Source organism: Homo sapiens, chromosome 1, assembly GCF_000001405.40.
Source record: "Homo sapiens chromosome 1, GRCh38.p14 Primary Assembly".
Taxonomy (NCBI): Eukaryota; Metazoa; Chordata; class Mammalia; order Primates; family Hominidae; genus Homo; species Homo sapiens.
In genome coordinates, this window is record NC_000001.11 from 242,281,404 (window position 1) to 242,295,269 (window position 13,866).

At 39.7% G+C, this 13,866-nt stretch overlaps 1 protein-coding gene across 9 annotated transcripts in view; it reads right to left on the reverse strand.

Annotated features, from left to right (window-relative positions):
• PLD5 (phospholipase D family member 5) overlaps positions 1-13,866 on the reverse strand; it is a 447,561-nt gene that overhangs the window by 198,418 nt on the left and 235,277 nt on the right. For 8 of the 9 annotated variants that reach the window (XM_011544115.3, XM_011544116.3, NM_001320272.2 and 5 more), the window contains one exon: positions 6,959-7,127. The exons of the other annotated variant lie outside the window; for it this stretch is intronic. In XM_011544115.3, the coding sequence (XP_011542417.1) occupies positions 6,959-7,127 (169 nt within the window). The remainder of the gene's footprint in view (positions 1-6,958; positions 7,128-13,866) is intronic. 9 annotated transcript variants of the gene reach the window in all.

Here is a 13,866-nt window from a genome sequence, read left to right on the forward strand (position 1 = left end):
TATGGGTCTTCAATATAGAACAAAACGTCAATCAACAAAAATTAGGAGGGACTGTAGGTTCAAGAAGACCACATAATTTACTGTGTTTTCAAAATTCAAGATGTTATTTGTCCAGAGGGAGATATACACACACACACGTGCAAATATAGACTGTGGTTATATTTTCCATTAAATGATAGTGTTCTAAGATCAAATATTTCACAATCTTACCAGATAACTTTGCTAGATAGTGTTTGGTCATAAATTTCAGGACAAATGGAGAGGTAAAAAAAGGTATTCTTAAGCTTGTAGAATTCTTGAGAATGGGGCTGCTTTGGATGGTGAGGGGGTGAACAGTCCTTCTAGATGTTTTCCAAAGCTGAAGTGCCCCCTGCTTCTCCAAAGATAGAGCAGCTGCTTCTCAACGGGTGTGTCAACCAATAACTGCTTGAGTAGATGAGTGAGAGTAAGACTGTGGGTGTGTGCGCGCACACACACTTGAAGATTTATAATTAATAAATCAAATGAAAGTAAGAATTCCACATACAATGATAATTTGCCTAATACTTCTTATCTACCCAGAGTCTCACGTTTGCAGAAACTCTAATCCCCTTCTAATTGTACACAGTAACCATCCCAATTTCTAGCACAGTGTGAGAGCCATAATAAGAACTTGCTAACAGAATAAACTTGAACCAGAGGTACAGTGTGTACACAAATCAGTGAATGTGAATAACAATATTCACGATCATAACAAACCCTTATATAGGCACTAAAATGGTCAAACACTGTTCTATCCTCTTCACAGGTATTAACTGATTTAATCTGCACAACCACCTATGAGGCAGGTTCTGTTATCGCCCTGATTTTGCTATTGAGGAAACTGAGGCATACAGAGTTCATCCTCTTGCCCGAGGTTGCACAGCTAATAAGTAGGTCAAAAAACAAAACAAAACAAAAACCTCAGCTCCACTCCTGGCTCATTTCTGCAGTCTTGCTAAGATCTGCTAACCACTGTGTAGAGGTAGGATCCAGGCTCGTACTTCCCAAAAACAACCTCTTGGATCACCGAGCTCTTATGCTTGCTATTTCATAAATACTGTTTGATTTTAAAAAATCATAATTTCTCGAAATCAAACAATTCTGATGTATCATCAGTTGGCAATCACAGCTCACTGGTAGACCAGTATCTAATTGATTTCACATAAATACATCTCCTTAAGATTCCATTGTTGCAGCTCATTAATTATTTTATAGGTTCCTCACAGTGAATTCATAGAGTGTGAGATTTTTTTTTTTAACCCAGTGAATTAGGTAGCTCTACTAATGAGCCTCTGTCAGTTATATTTCCTGACTGTTTCTGAACAGGCTTGATTTCATAAATTCCCATCATTTTGTCTCATAAATTAGCAATCAAGATGTCCCAGGAATTTCAACATTTTAGGGTGGCAACTCATCATCCAGACAGAAACAAAAACCTTTTGCCCGACCATGTATTTTCATAAAATTCTAACATACAGTTATCATGAAACTCTAGACCTCAGCAGCCCTTAGCAGGCTGTGATACGGAGTAAGGGCACCGTCCAGTTTCCTTTAGCACAGAAGGAAACAAACACAAACAGATTAACACCAGGAAAGAGACAAGAAAAACAAAGTGGGTTTTTCAGGGTGGAAACCCAAACAGCAACCTTTTGGAGGTACAGATTAAAAACACATTTTAAATCAACATGTCTGTTTCCATGCAAATGAAAAATAAAAAAGCACATATTCATCATTCCTGTTAGTAACAACCATCACACTCACTCTTACAAAATTGCTACTCTTCCAGAGACCAGATCAATAAAATGTGTGCAAAATAAAAAAGCACATATTCATCATTCCTGTTAGTAGCAACCATCACACTCACTCTAACAAAATTGCTACTCTTCCAGAGACCAGACCAATAAAATGTGTGCGTCTGCTGCTGAGCTGTTCTGCCTACCACTGGCTACGTGGTTTCTTGGTATATTTTCTTATTGCTACATTATAAAAGACATCTGGGCTGCTTTTTGGTTATGGGCTGCTCTTTATGTATGTGCCATCTAAGGTTCCATTTAGGACTTTTCTGGCTCTGTTGGTTTAAAATTAAATGTCACATTTGACTATTGTCCCCCAACTAAAAAAATATTATCTTTAAAAAAATTAATGAAAAAGAAGCTGTGAACCTGACACATTTTTTTATCACACGTATCTGTGAAGGATAGTGTTTGGCACCAGAATATTTTAAAGAAAATTTAAATTTGTTCACTTGAGTAATCAGGGTGTGAACTATTTTTTCCTAGCATATTTTTGCACGCAATAAACCAATGAGAGACTATCTGCCAATATTTATAGGGTCTTGGTAAAGATAAAAGGGCACACACAAGTCCAAAGACTGCCTGCCCAAAGTTTGAAAGGTTTGGATAGTCTTGAATTTCCTTTTCCATTTGAAAGATAAAATCAGGTAAAAATTTAAATCAAAGTAGCTTTCAGTTAGTGCCTTTTTATAGGCAGTGAAGTTTTAGGGTAAAACTTGGTGATTTTTATCTGCAAAGAACAGGATATAGGGGTCCTTGAACTGCACCCAAAAAGAAGGAGTTGGCAGCAAGTACCTGTTTCCTTTCTCCATTCTTCATCACTTCACAATTATTCCCCTACCTGCCCAGTGAGAGGGGGAAAGGAGGGGAATAGACTCTAAAAATAATCTTTTTCTTTTTCCTTTTTTTTTTTTTTTTTTTTTTTTTTTTTTTATAGATACACAGAGTCTCACTCTGTCCCCCAGGCTGGAGTGCAGTGGCTCAATCTCAGCTCACTGCAGCCTCCGCCTCCCGGGTTCCAGCAATTGTTCTGTTTCAGCCTCCTGGGTAGCTGGGATTACAGGCATGTGCCACCACGCCCAGCTAATTTTGCATTTTTAGTACAGACGGGGTTTCACCATGTTTGCCAGGCTGGTTTCAAACTCCTGATCTCAGGTGATCTGCCCGCCTCGGCCTCCCAAAGTGCTGGTATTACAGGCCACCACGCCCAACTCTCTAAAATTAATCTTTAAGTGCCCAAGAAATGCGGTCTTCAGATAAGTTCCCCCAGACCTTTTAATGCTAACCTGTTGTGCATACCGCTCTAGGGGTTGAGAGAGGGGAATCGGGGCAAGGTGAGAGGGAGCCACTCAGGCAACAAAACACCCTAAATTCTGCATGCTTGCTCTTTAAGACCATAGTCCATGCCTGGCTTTTGGCCAGTGGAGACCAAAGGCTTGAGATTCTGCAGAAACAGTCACTTGGCCACCAACAAACTAGAAAAACTAGAAGAAGAGGAGAGAAATTCCACTACCTTGTTGAAGTGAGAACCCTCCGAACATCATTGCTTCCCCACAGGACATGGCCAGGGACAGACAGGTATGGCGAGAACTGCAAGATCAGCCTCACAGCACCTTTAATCCATTTAATTCCCAAAGCAGATAAAGCCCCTCTATCCTTCATGTTTGCAAAGGCAGATCTCCCCCTTGTAAAGAGGCAAAGCAAAATTAGGCTCAAAACTACAGAAAACCAGCTGGTTTTACATTGTACAGAAGTCTGTTGCTATTAGGGAGATGAGAGGCAGCTAAGAGGTGTCTCTTCGGCAGGAGCAGTATGACTCTACCAGAAGACATTATTCTAAACTAGGTCTCTTCCTAAAAGCTTGCCTGTGAGTTCAACGATAGTTAGGTCATAGGCAGTAAGTTGAAAAATTCCATTTGTTGGCAGCAGGCCAGTTGTTAGAGAGTGACTTGAACTAAGCTTCTAAGTGTTATCATCTTTCTACATCAATAACATCTAGCATCTACCTTTCTACATCAATAACATCTACCTAAAGTCATATGGGAGACCGTGGTGGGTGGATGACTTGAGGTCAGTTCAAGACCAGCCTGGCTAACATGGTGAAACCCCATCCCTACTAAAAATACAAAAATTAGCTTGGTGTGGTGGCAGGTGCCTGCAATCCCAGCTACTCAGGAGGCTGTGGCAGGAGAATCGCTTGAACCCGGGAAGTAGAGGTTGCAGTGAGCCAAGATCACACCACCACACTTTAGCCTCGGCAACAGAGCAAAACTCTGTCTCAAAAAAATTAATAAGTAAATAAATAAAGCCATGTGGGATTGGGTCATGGTGGAGGCTAGCCTCTACTCCTATCATTCAAGGCTGGAAGAAGAGTAGGAAATTTCCTTTGAAGCCTTGAGAAAGGGCCATCTGTATTATGCAATGGCAGAGTGCTTGCAATAGTACCACCTGCTATAAAATAGAACATGGAAAATACAACTAATGAACTTGTGAAGCTGGCTGAAATTCTTCAGGCAGATTACAAGTTTTTGAAGTACTTCTATAGTAACTATAGAAGTAAACTACAGTTTACAATAATCTATTCTCCATTTCAAAATAAGTAGAAGGGGGCCAGGCACAGTGGCTCACACCTATAATCCCAACACTTTGGGAGGCCAAGGCGGGTGGATCACTTGAGGTCAGGAATTCGAGACCAGCCTGGCCAGCATGGTGAAACCTCCTCTCTACTAAAAATATGAAAACTTAGCTGAGCATGGTGGTGTGAACCTGTAATCCCAGCTACTCGGGAGGCTGAGACAGGAGAATTGCTTGAACCCAGGAGGTGGAGGTTGCAGAGAGCCGAGGTCGCACCACTACACTCCAACCTGGGCAACACAGCGAGTCTCTGTCTCCAAAAATAAAATAAAATAAAATAAAAATATAAGTAGAAGGGAAGAATTTAAATGGCTCTGGCCTAAAGAAAAGACAAATTTTTGGCTTGCATGTTTCCAAATCAAGAGAAGCCCACATGAGAATCCTCACTCAGATCCAGACCTGATGCAAATAAAGAGACTCTGGATTTTGAGCTGAAGGAGTGAGGGATGTGCCATCTCAAAATATGTCAGGTTGGTATATTGGTGATTATTTCAAGTGGAAAACACGGGGAAAATTGTAGTTCAGTAAGGGATCGCTGACCTGTCTCTTCCTGTGGGCAGCAAACCATAAAGATTCTTCTGAGAAGCACATCCTCCCTGTACCAGGGTGAGAAAATAGCCCTTATCACCAGAGACGGGAAACTGGGGGCTGCCATGGACCTGAATAAACACACTTAATGAAGTGATCCTATCTCCCACTGGTTTTATACCCCTTCTATATCTCCTAGTGACTCCCCTAGAAATTGACTGCCCCCACACACATCCCCTTTGTCCTGTCATTTCTCCTCAAATTTATCATTCTTTGTCTAAAAAGTATAAAAACATCTTACTTTGGCCACTTCTTTGGACTTCGCTCTCTTGTGAAGATCCACATGTACGAGTAAAACTAATAAAATCTGTAGACTTTTCTCCTGCTAATCTGCCTGGTGTCAATTTCTAGATCTAGCCAAAGAGCCCACGTAAGAGCAAAAGGGGTATTGGAGGTGATCTCTGGCTTCCTTCCAGAGCCCTTGATGTAGTAGAATTCCCACTTTGAGGAATAAGGTGAATGTGTTTTGCATGTAAAAGAGAGATATGAATTGCTATGGCCAGAGAATGGGCTGTGGTATGTTATTTCCAAAGATGGCCACCAATAATCCTCATTCCTGTACTTGGATGTTGCTCCTCCCTTCCTGGACTTGAGACGTGCTTCTACCAGTGGAATAGATTGGGAGCAACATGCTAGGATTCCAGAGCTCTTTGCCTTCTGAGGATCCAACCACCATGTAAAGAGCTCAAGATGATTTACTGAATCATGACAGAACATGCAGAGAGACTCAGCCATCCCAGACGTTCCAGTCACCCCAGCTGAGATACCAGATATGTGAGGAAAGCCATCCAGGATTCTCCATCCCCAGGCAACCCACCCCAGCCAATACCATATGGATCAGAGATAAGTCCTCTCTGCCCAACCCTGCCCAGAATCATGAACAAATAGATACTATTTCTTTAAACCACTATATTTTAGGAGACATTATGGAATAATAAATCCTGAAACACTTACTTAAACTTTAGTAGAGATGGAAAAGTGTAGAACACAGTTAGTAAACTCATTCCATTCTTCTTTAGTTACGGCCTTCGTGTTTTTTGTTTTTTGTTTTTATTTTCCAGTAACTTTTGACTTTAAAATAGTATAATTGAATAGATTCAATAGCTTTCAAAGTACCAATGAGATCATGATTATAAGCTTAATACCACTACATTTTGCATAAAAGGAGACAAAACTTATTTTGCCCTTGACTTACATATGATATTTAAGTGTAGGCCAATGGCTATATATTTAGATAGGGTAGCTTAATGTAAACTATCATGGTTGTACCAATATAAAGAAAAACACTAAAATCACCAGCACCATTTTCTTACACCCAGAGCATTTTATTCAGAAATTGTTTAGATCATTAAGTCAGTTTTCTAAAGGTAGTTCTCCGAGCCTTATTTTTGAAAAGAGATAAGCATATTTCTTTTTCCCATTCATCCAAATACGACAGTCGAGAAAAACAACTATCCTGGGAAATTTCACTCTATTAAAAAAATGTGGCTGTGGGTGAATTATAACTTGAAAGGTGAATTATAACACAAATTAACCAAATAAATGCCTCAGCGAGCAGTTACAGAATTAGAACTGTAAACACGCTAGTTGGGCGAAGCAGAATTCTGGACCATGCCATTGACAGAGATTATCATGTAAATAGCACGCCCTGAAGTTGTACAACACAGCAATTCTGTATAAAGAGCCGACTGTAGGCAAAGATGAAACATAATTTTGTCCTTGCAAACCTGGCATTCTAGTAGGAGCTGAGTGACATATGATTAACAACGACACATCTACATAAATGTAATAATGTACATGTACTCTGGGTGTGTGTAGACTAAAATAAATGAGCTTGAGTTTGAGGAGTGGAGGAGCAGAATACTAAGGAGTGGAAAATGCACATAAGTAAAATCATCACACACACAGAGGATGTAGCTTACCTGACATGCTGATGGATGAGTGTGGTTGAGATCCCAATGGGAAGACACTATGTCAACAGACTTTTTGGCCATGTTGAGTAAATTCATCCAGCCTTGGAAAAGTGATAAGTGAAATGGTGCATTTTCTGAATAGTTAAGGCCTTCAGGAATATTTTCCACCAGGGCAATTCTTAGAAAAGATTTTGAAAAACAAACAAACAAAATCTAGTCAAATTTGAAGCCACAGATCTTTATATATGCATACAGCAGACATCTAAAAAATATTCTTTACTCATTCTGAATGCATTCTCTCCTCATAATTTACATATTTTTTCCACAAAAGTCTTCTTACATTTAACCTCTACTAACCTACTGTGTTCTGAGAGTTTATGCTCTATTTTTCCATAGTTAGCACTCACATTTCAGAAAATAACAGAGTATGTCTCTAATGTCCAGTTTCAATCTAGCCTGGAAAAAAAATTGTGAGCTTCCTACACAAGTACCTTCTTCTAGTAATATATTCCTTTATTTTTCCCTGGAAGCAATTCAATTCCTATATAAGATACTACTTTGCAAGCTATTTGAGACTATAAATTGAGTTTTGCCTATCTCCAGTTTCTAAAACAATGTGGGGCATACATTGGAACTCAATAAATGCAGTAATTATTGCTGAGCATCTACTGATGCTTCCTAGCCTATGGTGTAAAGTGACACTGAGAAGAAAATTATAAAACCTGCTTGTTGCAGGGCTTTACTAATATTAGAGCTAAGAAAAGGATAAAATTATAGTATTAATCAAGCCCTAAATAAACTGCAATTGGCAATATTCTAATAAGTTTGTTTTCTCTTTTTATACTTTTTATTATATTGACAATATATCTGTTGTATTGTCATACCTTTCCTTGGCTGCCTTTTTTTCACTTCTGAATTAGGTGACAGATAACTTCTGAACAAAGGAATGAGCTATTTTTTCCAGCTTTATTAAGCTTTATTTATTAATGTATATTCTCCCGCAATTCTTTTTTTGAGATGGAGTCTCGCTCTGTTGCCCAGGCTGGAGTGCAGTGGTGCGATCTTGGCTCACTGCATCCTCCGCCTCCCAGGTTCAAGCAGTTCTCCTGCCTCAGCCTCCCAAGTAGCTGAGATTACAGACACCTGCCACCATGCCTGGCTAACTTTTTTTTGTGTTTTTCATAGAGATGGGGTTTCACCATGTTGGACAGGCTGGTCTCGAACTCCTGACCTCTCATGATCCCCCCCTGCCTTGGCCTCCCAAAGTGCTAGGATTATAGGCATGAGCCACTGCACCCAGCCTCCTGCAATTCTTGATGGAAAACCTCAAGTCCTTATGAAAATACCTGTTAGGTGCTTCCAGAACACCGATTTGCATTGCTGTATGCACAGAGCCAGAGATATAATTAGGGCTCACAAAATACTTACAGAATAAATTTCAGCTTTCAACAAAGAATTCAGCACTTCTCAATAAAATACTTAATTGTTACTCTTACTGAGACATGTTGCATTTAGCCAGCTTTTGAAACAAAAACAATACTGCTAGTAAAATGTTCTGTATTTGATCAACCCAAAATATTATAACCAGAATGGGCTCTGGGTATGTGGCTCAGATAAATTTGCAGTTTTGGAGTCCAATCAGCCTATCATCACCCAAAAATTTATTTAAAATTTGTTGAGCCTTTATAAGCACAGGGCAGGCAAATCACTATGTGCAACACAGAAATGACTACCACAAATCTCCCTAGCCCTCAGAAACAGAATTTAGTGGAAAAGCCTATCTCATATGTACTGACTCAAATAGGAGGTAGACTCTAATAAATGGTGAAGCAAGGGTAAGAAGCTTAATCAGAGGGAAAACACATCACTTAAAGAATCACTGGAACATGCGCAGGAAGGAAAAATTCTGATTGGGGACATCTAGGAGGAAGCTGGGCTTGAAATTCGTCTTCAAAGATGAAAATTTTTTATGAGTGAGTTGGAAGAGAAAGATATTCTAGGAGGAGTTTGTAAAACATAGCATGTCTGTATATTTGTGAGTTAGTGAGCCAAGGGGAGCGTGAAGTAGGAAAGTTACGGTAGGAGCTTGTGATGGTGGAGAAAGCTGGCAGCATTTGTAGGGACCACAGTGCAGAGGCTGTGATCAAGGGAGAAGAGTTTGGACTTAATTTTGTCGCATTTGGGAGCAACCAAGTGTGTTTTAGGGAGCTAAGTCTGACAGCACACCTGTACGCCACTGGCATGGAGAAACGGGAAATAGAAGATAAGTCAGTAGAGAGTAAAGCGCTGCAATAGACCAGGGGAAAAAAAGAAGCTTGAATTTGGTCAGTGAGAATGAAAAGAAGCATGCAGTGGACATTTTCAAGGTCAAATCTTAAAAGTATGAGGGGCAGGTAAAGCAGAAACAATGAGGACACAGATTTTCTTGCAAAACCAACATATTGTCTCTTAATTGGGCTGTATAACCCCCTCCAGTGGTCTCCTCACATGGGTTCCTGCCCTTCTCCAAATCATTTTCCCTACTAGTGTTGGATTAATCTTTTAAAAATGTGAATCTGGACACTCTGCCTGCTGCCTAATGAAACTTCCTATGGACCTCCCCACTGTCTTTAGGATGATGCCCTTGACCCGCCCCCACATGATTGACAAGTGTTTACCAGCCTGGCCTGCCTCTCTGCAGCTTCACTGGATTCAAATGCCCTTTGTGAATTCCATACCACAGCCATATTTGTCATCTTTACTTCCTTCCCCACTATTCTTTCTGACTTTTGCATTTCACATGCATTGTCCTAATCCCAATTCCTACACTGGTTATTGAGCCATCTCCCAGTTAACCTTTAAAGTTCCAATCAAAACTTCACTTCTCCTGATTGGCTTCCTTATACCCCCAAACTAGGCTAGATCCCCTTAATATCAACTTCTGCAGTGACCTGCTCCTCCTCTTTCATCCTACACCTCACTCCTGAAATTACTTGATTAAGGCCTTCCTTGATGGATTATAGGATGTGTGAGGGCAGGATGTTTTGTTGGTCCGGAATTGTATGCCCAGTGCCTAACGTAACTATATACTATAGTATAATTGTGCACAGTGAGTGTCCAAAGAATGCATATTGGGTGTCGTTAAAATCTCAGCTGGGAGGTGGGGAGCTGGGATCCATTCAAACTGACAACGGGCCAGGTGCGGTGGCTCACACCTGTAATCCCAGCACTTTGGGAGGCCGAGGCGGGCGGATCATGAGGTCAGGAAATTGAGACCATCTTGGCTAACACGGTGAAACCCCGTCTCTACTAAAAATACAAAAAATTAGCCAGGCGTGGTGGTGGGCGCCTGTAGTCCCAGCTACTCGGGAGGCTGAGGCAGGAGAATGGCATGAACCCTGGGAGGTGGAGCTTGCAGTGAACCGAGATTGTACCACTGCACTCCAGCCTGGGTGACAGAGCGAGACTCTGTCTCAAAAACAAACAAACAAACAAAACAAAACCTGACAAAGAACAGGGGAAAGAATGTAAATTGGGGATTGGGAGAGTATCAAAGAAGAAAAGACCATGAGAAAACCAGTCCAAAGCCTAAAGTGAGGGAAATGCCTACTGACGGTTGAGTGAAACAGATGACAGGGTTCAGAAGAGAGACCTTTAGAGAAGCAGGAAGATGAGAGGGGTCCAGGAGAAGCAGCGTTCAGGAAGCCAAGGGGAGAGAGAGTTACAAGATGGAAAGGGGATTATTTGATGTACCTCGAGGCCTTCGAAGGCAATAGACAGAGGTTGAAGTTGGATATCTTAATTCTATCCACATTTAAAGCCCAATTATCTATGTTAATAGAAGCTAGACATAGCGCGGATAAATAATCCCAGATACTCAGTAGTTTCTGCCTCCCCTACAACCGATGGATATATTTAAAAAAACAATCCAATAAACAAACAAAAACATCCCTCCAACAAAACAATGCCAAAACACAACAGCTGCCACCAAATAAAGAACTAGCTAGTTTTAATTTTGCTTTGATATGATATAAAAGGTATATGGAGAAAGACAAGAGGAGACACAGGAAGCCCAGATAAACCAAACATATGAGGGGAGGAATATAGTATAATTGTACAATTACAGATGGCTCCATAACATCGCCTTCTTCGTACTGTCCCTATGGCTTCTCTTGGGCATACAAGTAAGTCACGATTCCCAATCTTTTTTGGAAATCCTTAGACCAGGTGTTCTTAAACTTGGATCTATGGGTAGAATTCAGGGGGATCTATGCACATGAATTCTACATCTTTATTTTCCCTAGTCACTAACTAAAATGTAAATTTCCCTTCAGTTATGAACATAGGCAACAAACCATAAGAACATTAATGAAACCTGCAATTTTGTCTCCACTAAAAATTTTCCTCCTGTGGTATGGTTATAGACAACATTTCCAAGTCCTTCTCACTACTTTGAAAGTGTGGTAGTGACCGGATCTTGTCATTTTGTGAATATGTACTGCAGGATACACATGAGCTTATTATAAATGTATTTCTAAAAATATTCTGCTCACTTTAACACTTTCAGTTTCCTTTGCAATCCTCTGTATTTTAAATCATGAATTTAAAAACATGATTCAGGGAATAATGCATAGGTTTCATCGACTGTCAAAGGGGTCCATGGCTAAAAAAGGGGTAAGAAGCCCTCATCAGATGGATAATGTTAACATCTCTTCCCTTTTCTTTGATTACAAACACATTCTTATAAGATTTTATTTTCCTTAGTGATTGACGCTTTAGAAGTGGGTAAGATGATCAAGAGAGATTTCTTTAAAAAAGAGAATAGAGTCAAAGCCAAATGTGGAAAACATCTAATCAATCCTGGTTGGTAGAGAAAGTGAAGCAAGAGAAGATGACAAAGAAGAAAGTACTGGAGATATTGGAGGAGGAGGAGAGTGAAATTCCCTGGGAGCCAAGGAAGACCGAGTTTATGACAGTAGTCTTCCTTACCCTTTCTACAGTTTCTACAGTTTCACTTTCTACAGTTTCAGTTACAGTCCAGCAAGGTCTGAAAATATTACATTCAATATGTTATTTTGGAGCGAGAGACCACGTTCACATAACTTTTATTATAGTATACTGTTATAAGCATTCTGTTTTATTGTTGTTAGTTTCTTACTGTACCTATTTTATAGATTAAACATTGTCACAGGTAGATATGAATAGGAAAAAATATAGTACCTTGTAGAGTTCCATAGTATCCAATGCTTCCCACGCCCACTGGGGGTCTTAGAACACATCCTCTGAGGATAAGTAGGGACTACTGTATTACCGTTATTTGGTTTTTACTAAATATCAATATAAACTATGAATTTATAGTAAAATAAAAATAGAGGCAGCACTCAAGGTCTGGAGACTACACTTTGTGCAGGTAATGAATTCCAGGGAAAAGCTTGGAAATAATGATCCTATTTACCTGCTCACTCTCCTCCTCTTTCTTTACCCAGACATGTTGATTGCTCCTTCTGGGACGCATGGCTGTTTCTTATGCTAGAAAAGGTCTCTAAAAACCAGCTTTGAAATGACTTATTTCTGTGACCTATAGTTTTATTTCTTTTAAAAACCAACAGCTGGCTACTCTCCAGAGGCCTGATCTAATTAGCATAGAAGCAGAACTCATTTACATGCCATCACAGCCCTGAGTATACTCATACTTCTCAAGGTAAGAAAGAAGTAGGCAGATCTCATTGAAATTCACCTTTGGGCAAATCCCTGGAATACCTATTTGCCATCCACAAGAGAACTCTACCTAGAGGCTGTATAGCACTATTTCTGACACCTGATAACTAGGGGAAAACTGGATATATAGGAATGCAATACAACAAAAATATTTTTATACTTCTTTTCTTGATAGTTTAAGGTAAACTGTGAGTCCAGGGAGCTTAGGTGGAATAAATACAAGAAAAAGCTTTTTACATTGTTAATAGAATTTTAAATAGAATTCGAACTGTTCTTATTAATAGCATGTATTTATTCTCCAAACTTAATGTGATCATCCAAATTTCACTTTCCATCCAGGAACAATATTGTACCTTCTCAAAGAACTATTTGTAGTTTCCCTTTAATAAGCTACTAAAAAATGAAGTCCATGTATTTGGCAGCTTTAAGTGCTGTGTGTGTATGTGTTTTGGTAAACAGAAGAATCTTTATAAAATATGATACCTTCATACTTGATTTTGGCATTATTGTAGAGAACAGTTTAAAAGGGTTTGTAATAAAGTAGACAAAACACAGCTCTGCCAGTTATGAGCTGTGTGACCTTCAACAAATTACTAACCTCTTTCAATCTGTTCCCACTTCTGAGCAGAAAAAAGGTTATTACAAAGATTAGAGGAGGGAATCTCAGTGACACGCTGTGCTCATTGCCTGCTTCCTAGTAAATGCTAAATGAAAGACATTTTTTAAAGTAACTTAGTCTGAAGACTTATAATTGAAAAAAATGTCTCCAAGTTTTCAAACTCATAAAGCACAGTTACTAAAATGCTTCTACATATACTGGCTAAAAGGAGCCTTAGAAACTGGTGCCTACACGACATTTTCAAAGTGACTGTGAGCTTTCTTTTGTTGCCTAATGCACTGGATCAGTTATCAGGACCTGACCTTAAAAAGGTGCATGGCAGTCAATGCACCGACATTCATTCTTTAGATCTTGATTTTCTGGTCACATTAATGAAGGGGAACAGATGATCTCGGCTCATCAATACAGTCAGGTTCACACTCAAAGTCAAGTGATGGGGTTTTTTTACCCTTACTGTGGTCATATGGCTAAAATTTTAATTATAGATTCAGGGGTACACACGCAGGTTTCTTGCATGGGTATACCTCATAATGCTGGGGTTCGGGCTTCTAGTGATCTCATCACCCAAACAGCGAACATACTACCCAACAGGTAGTTTATC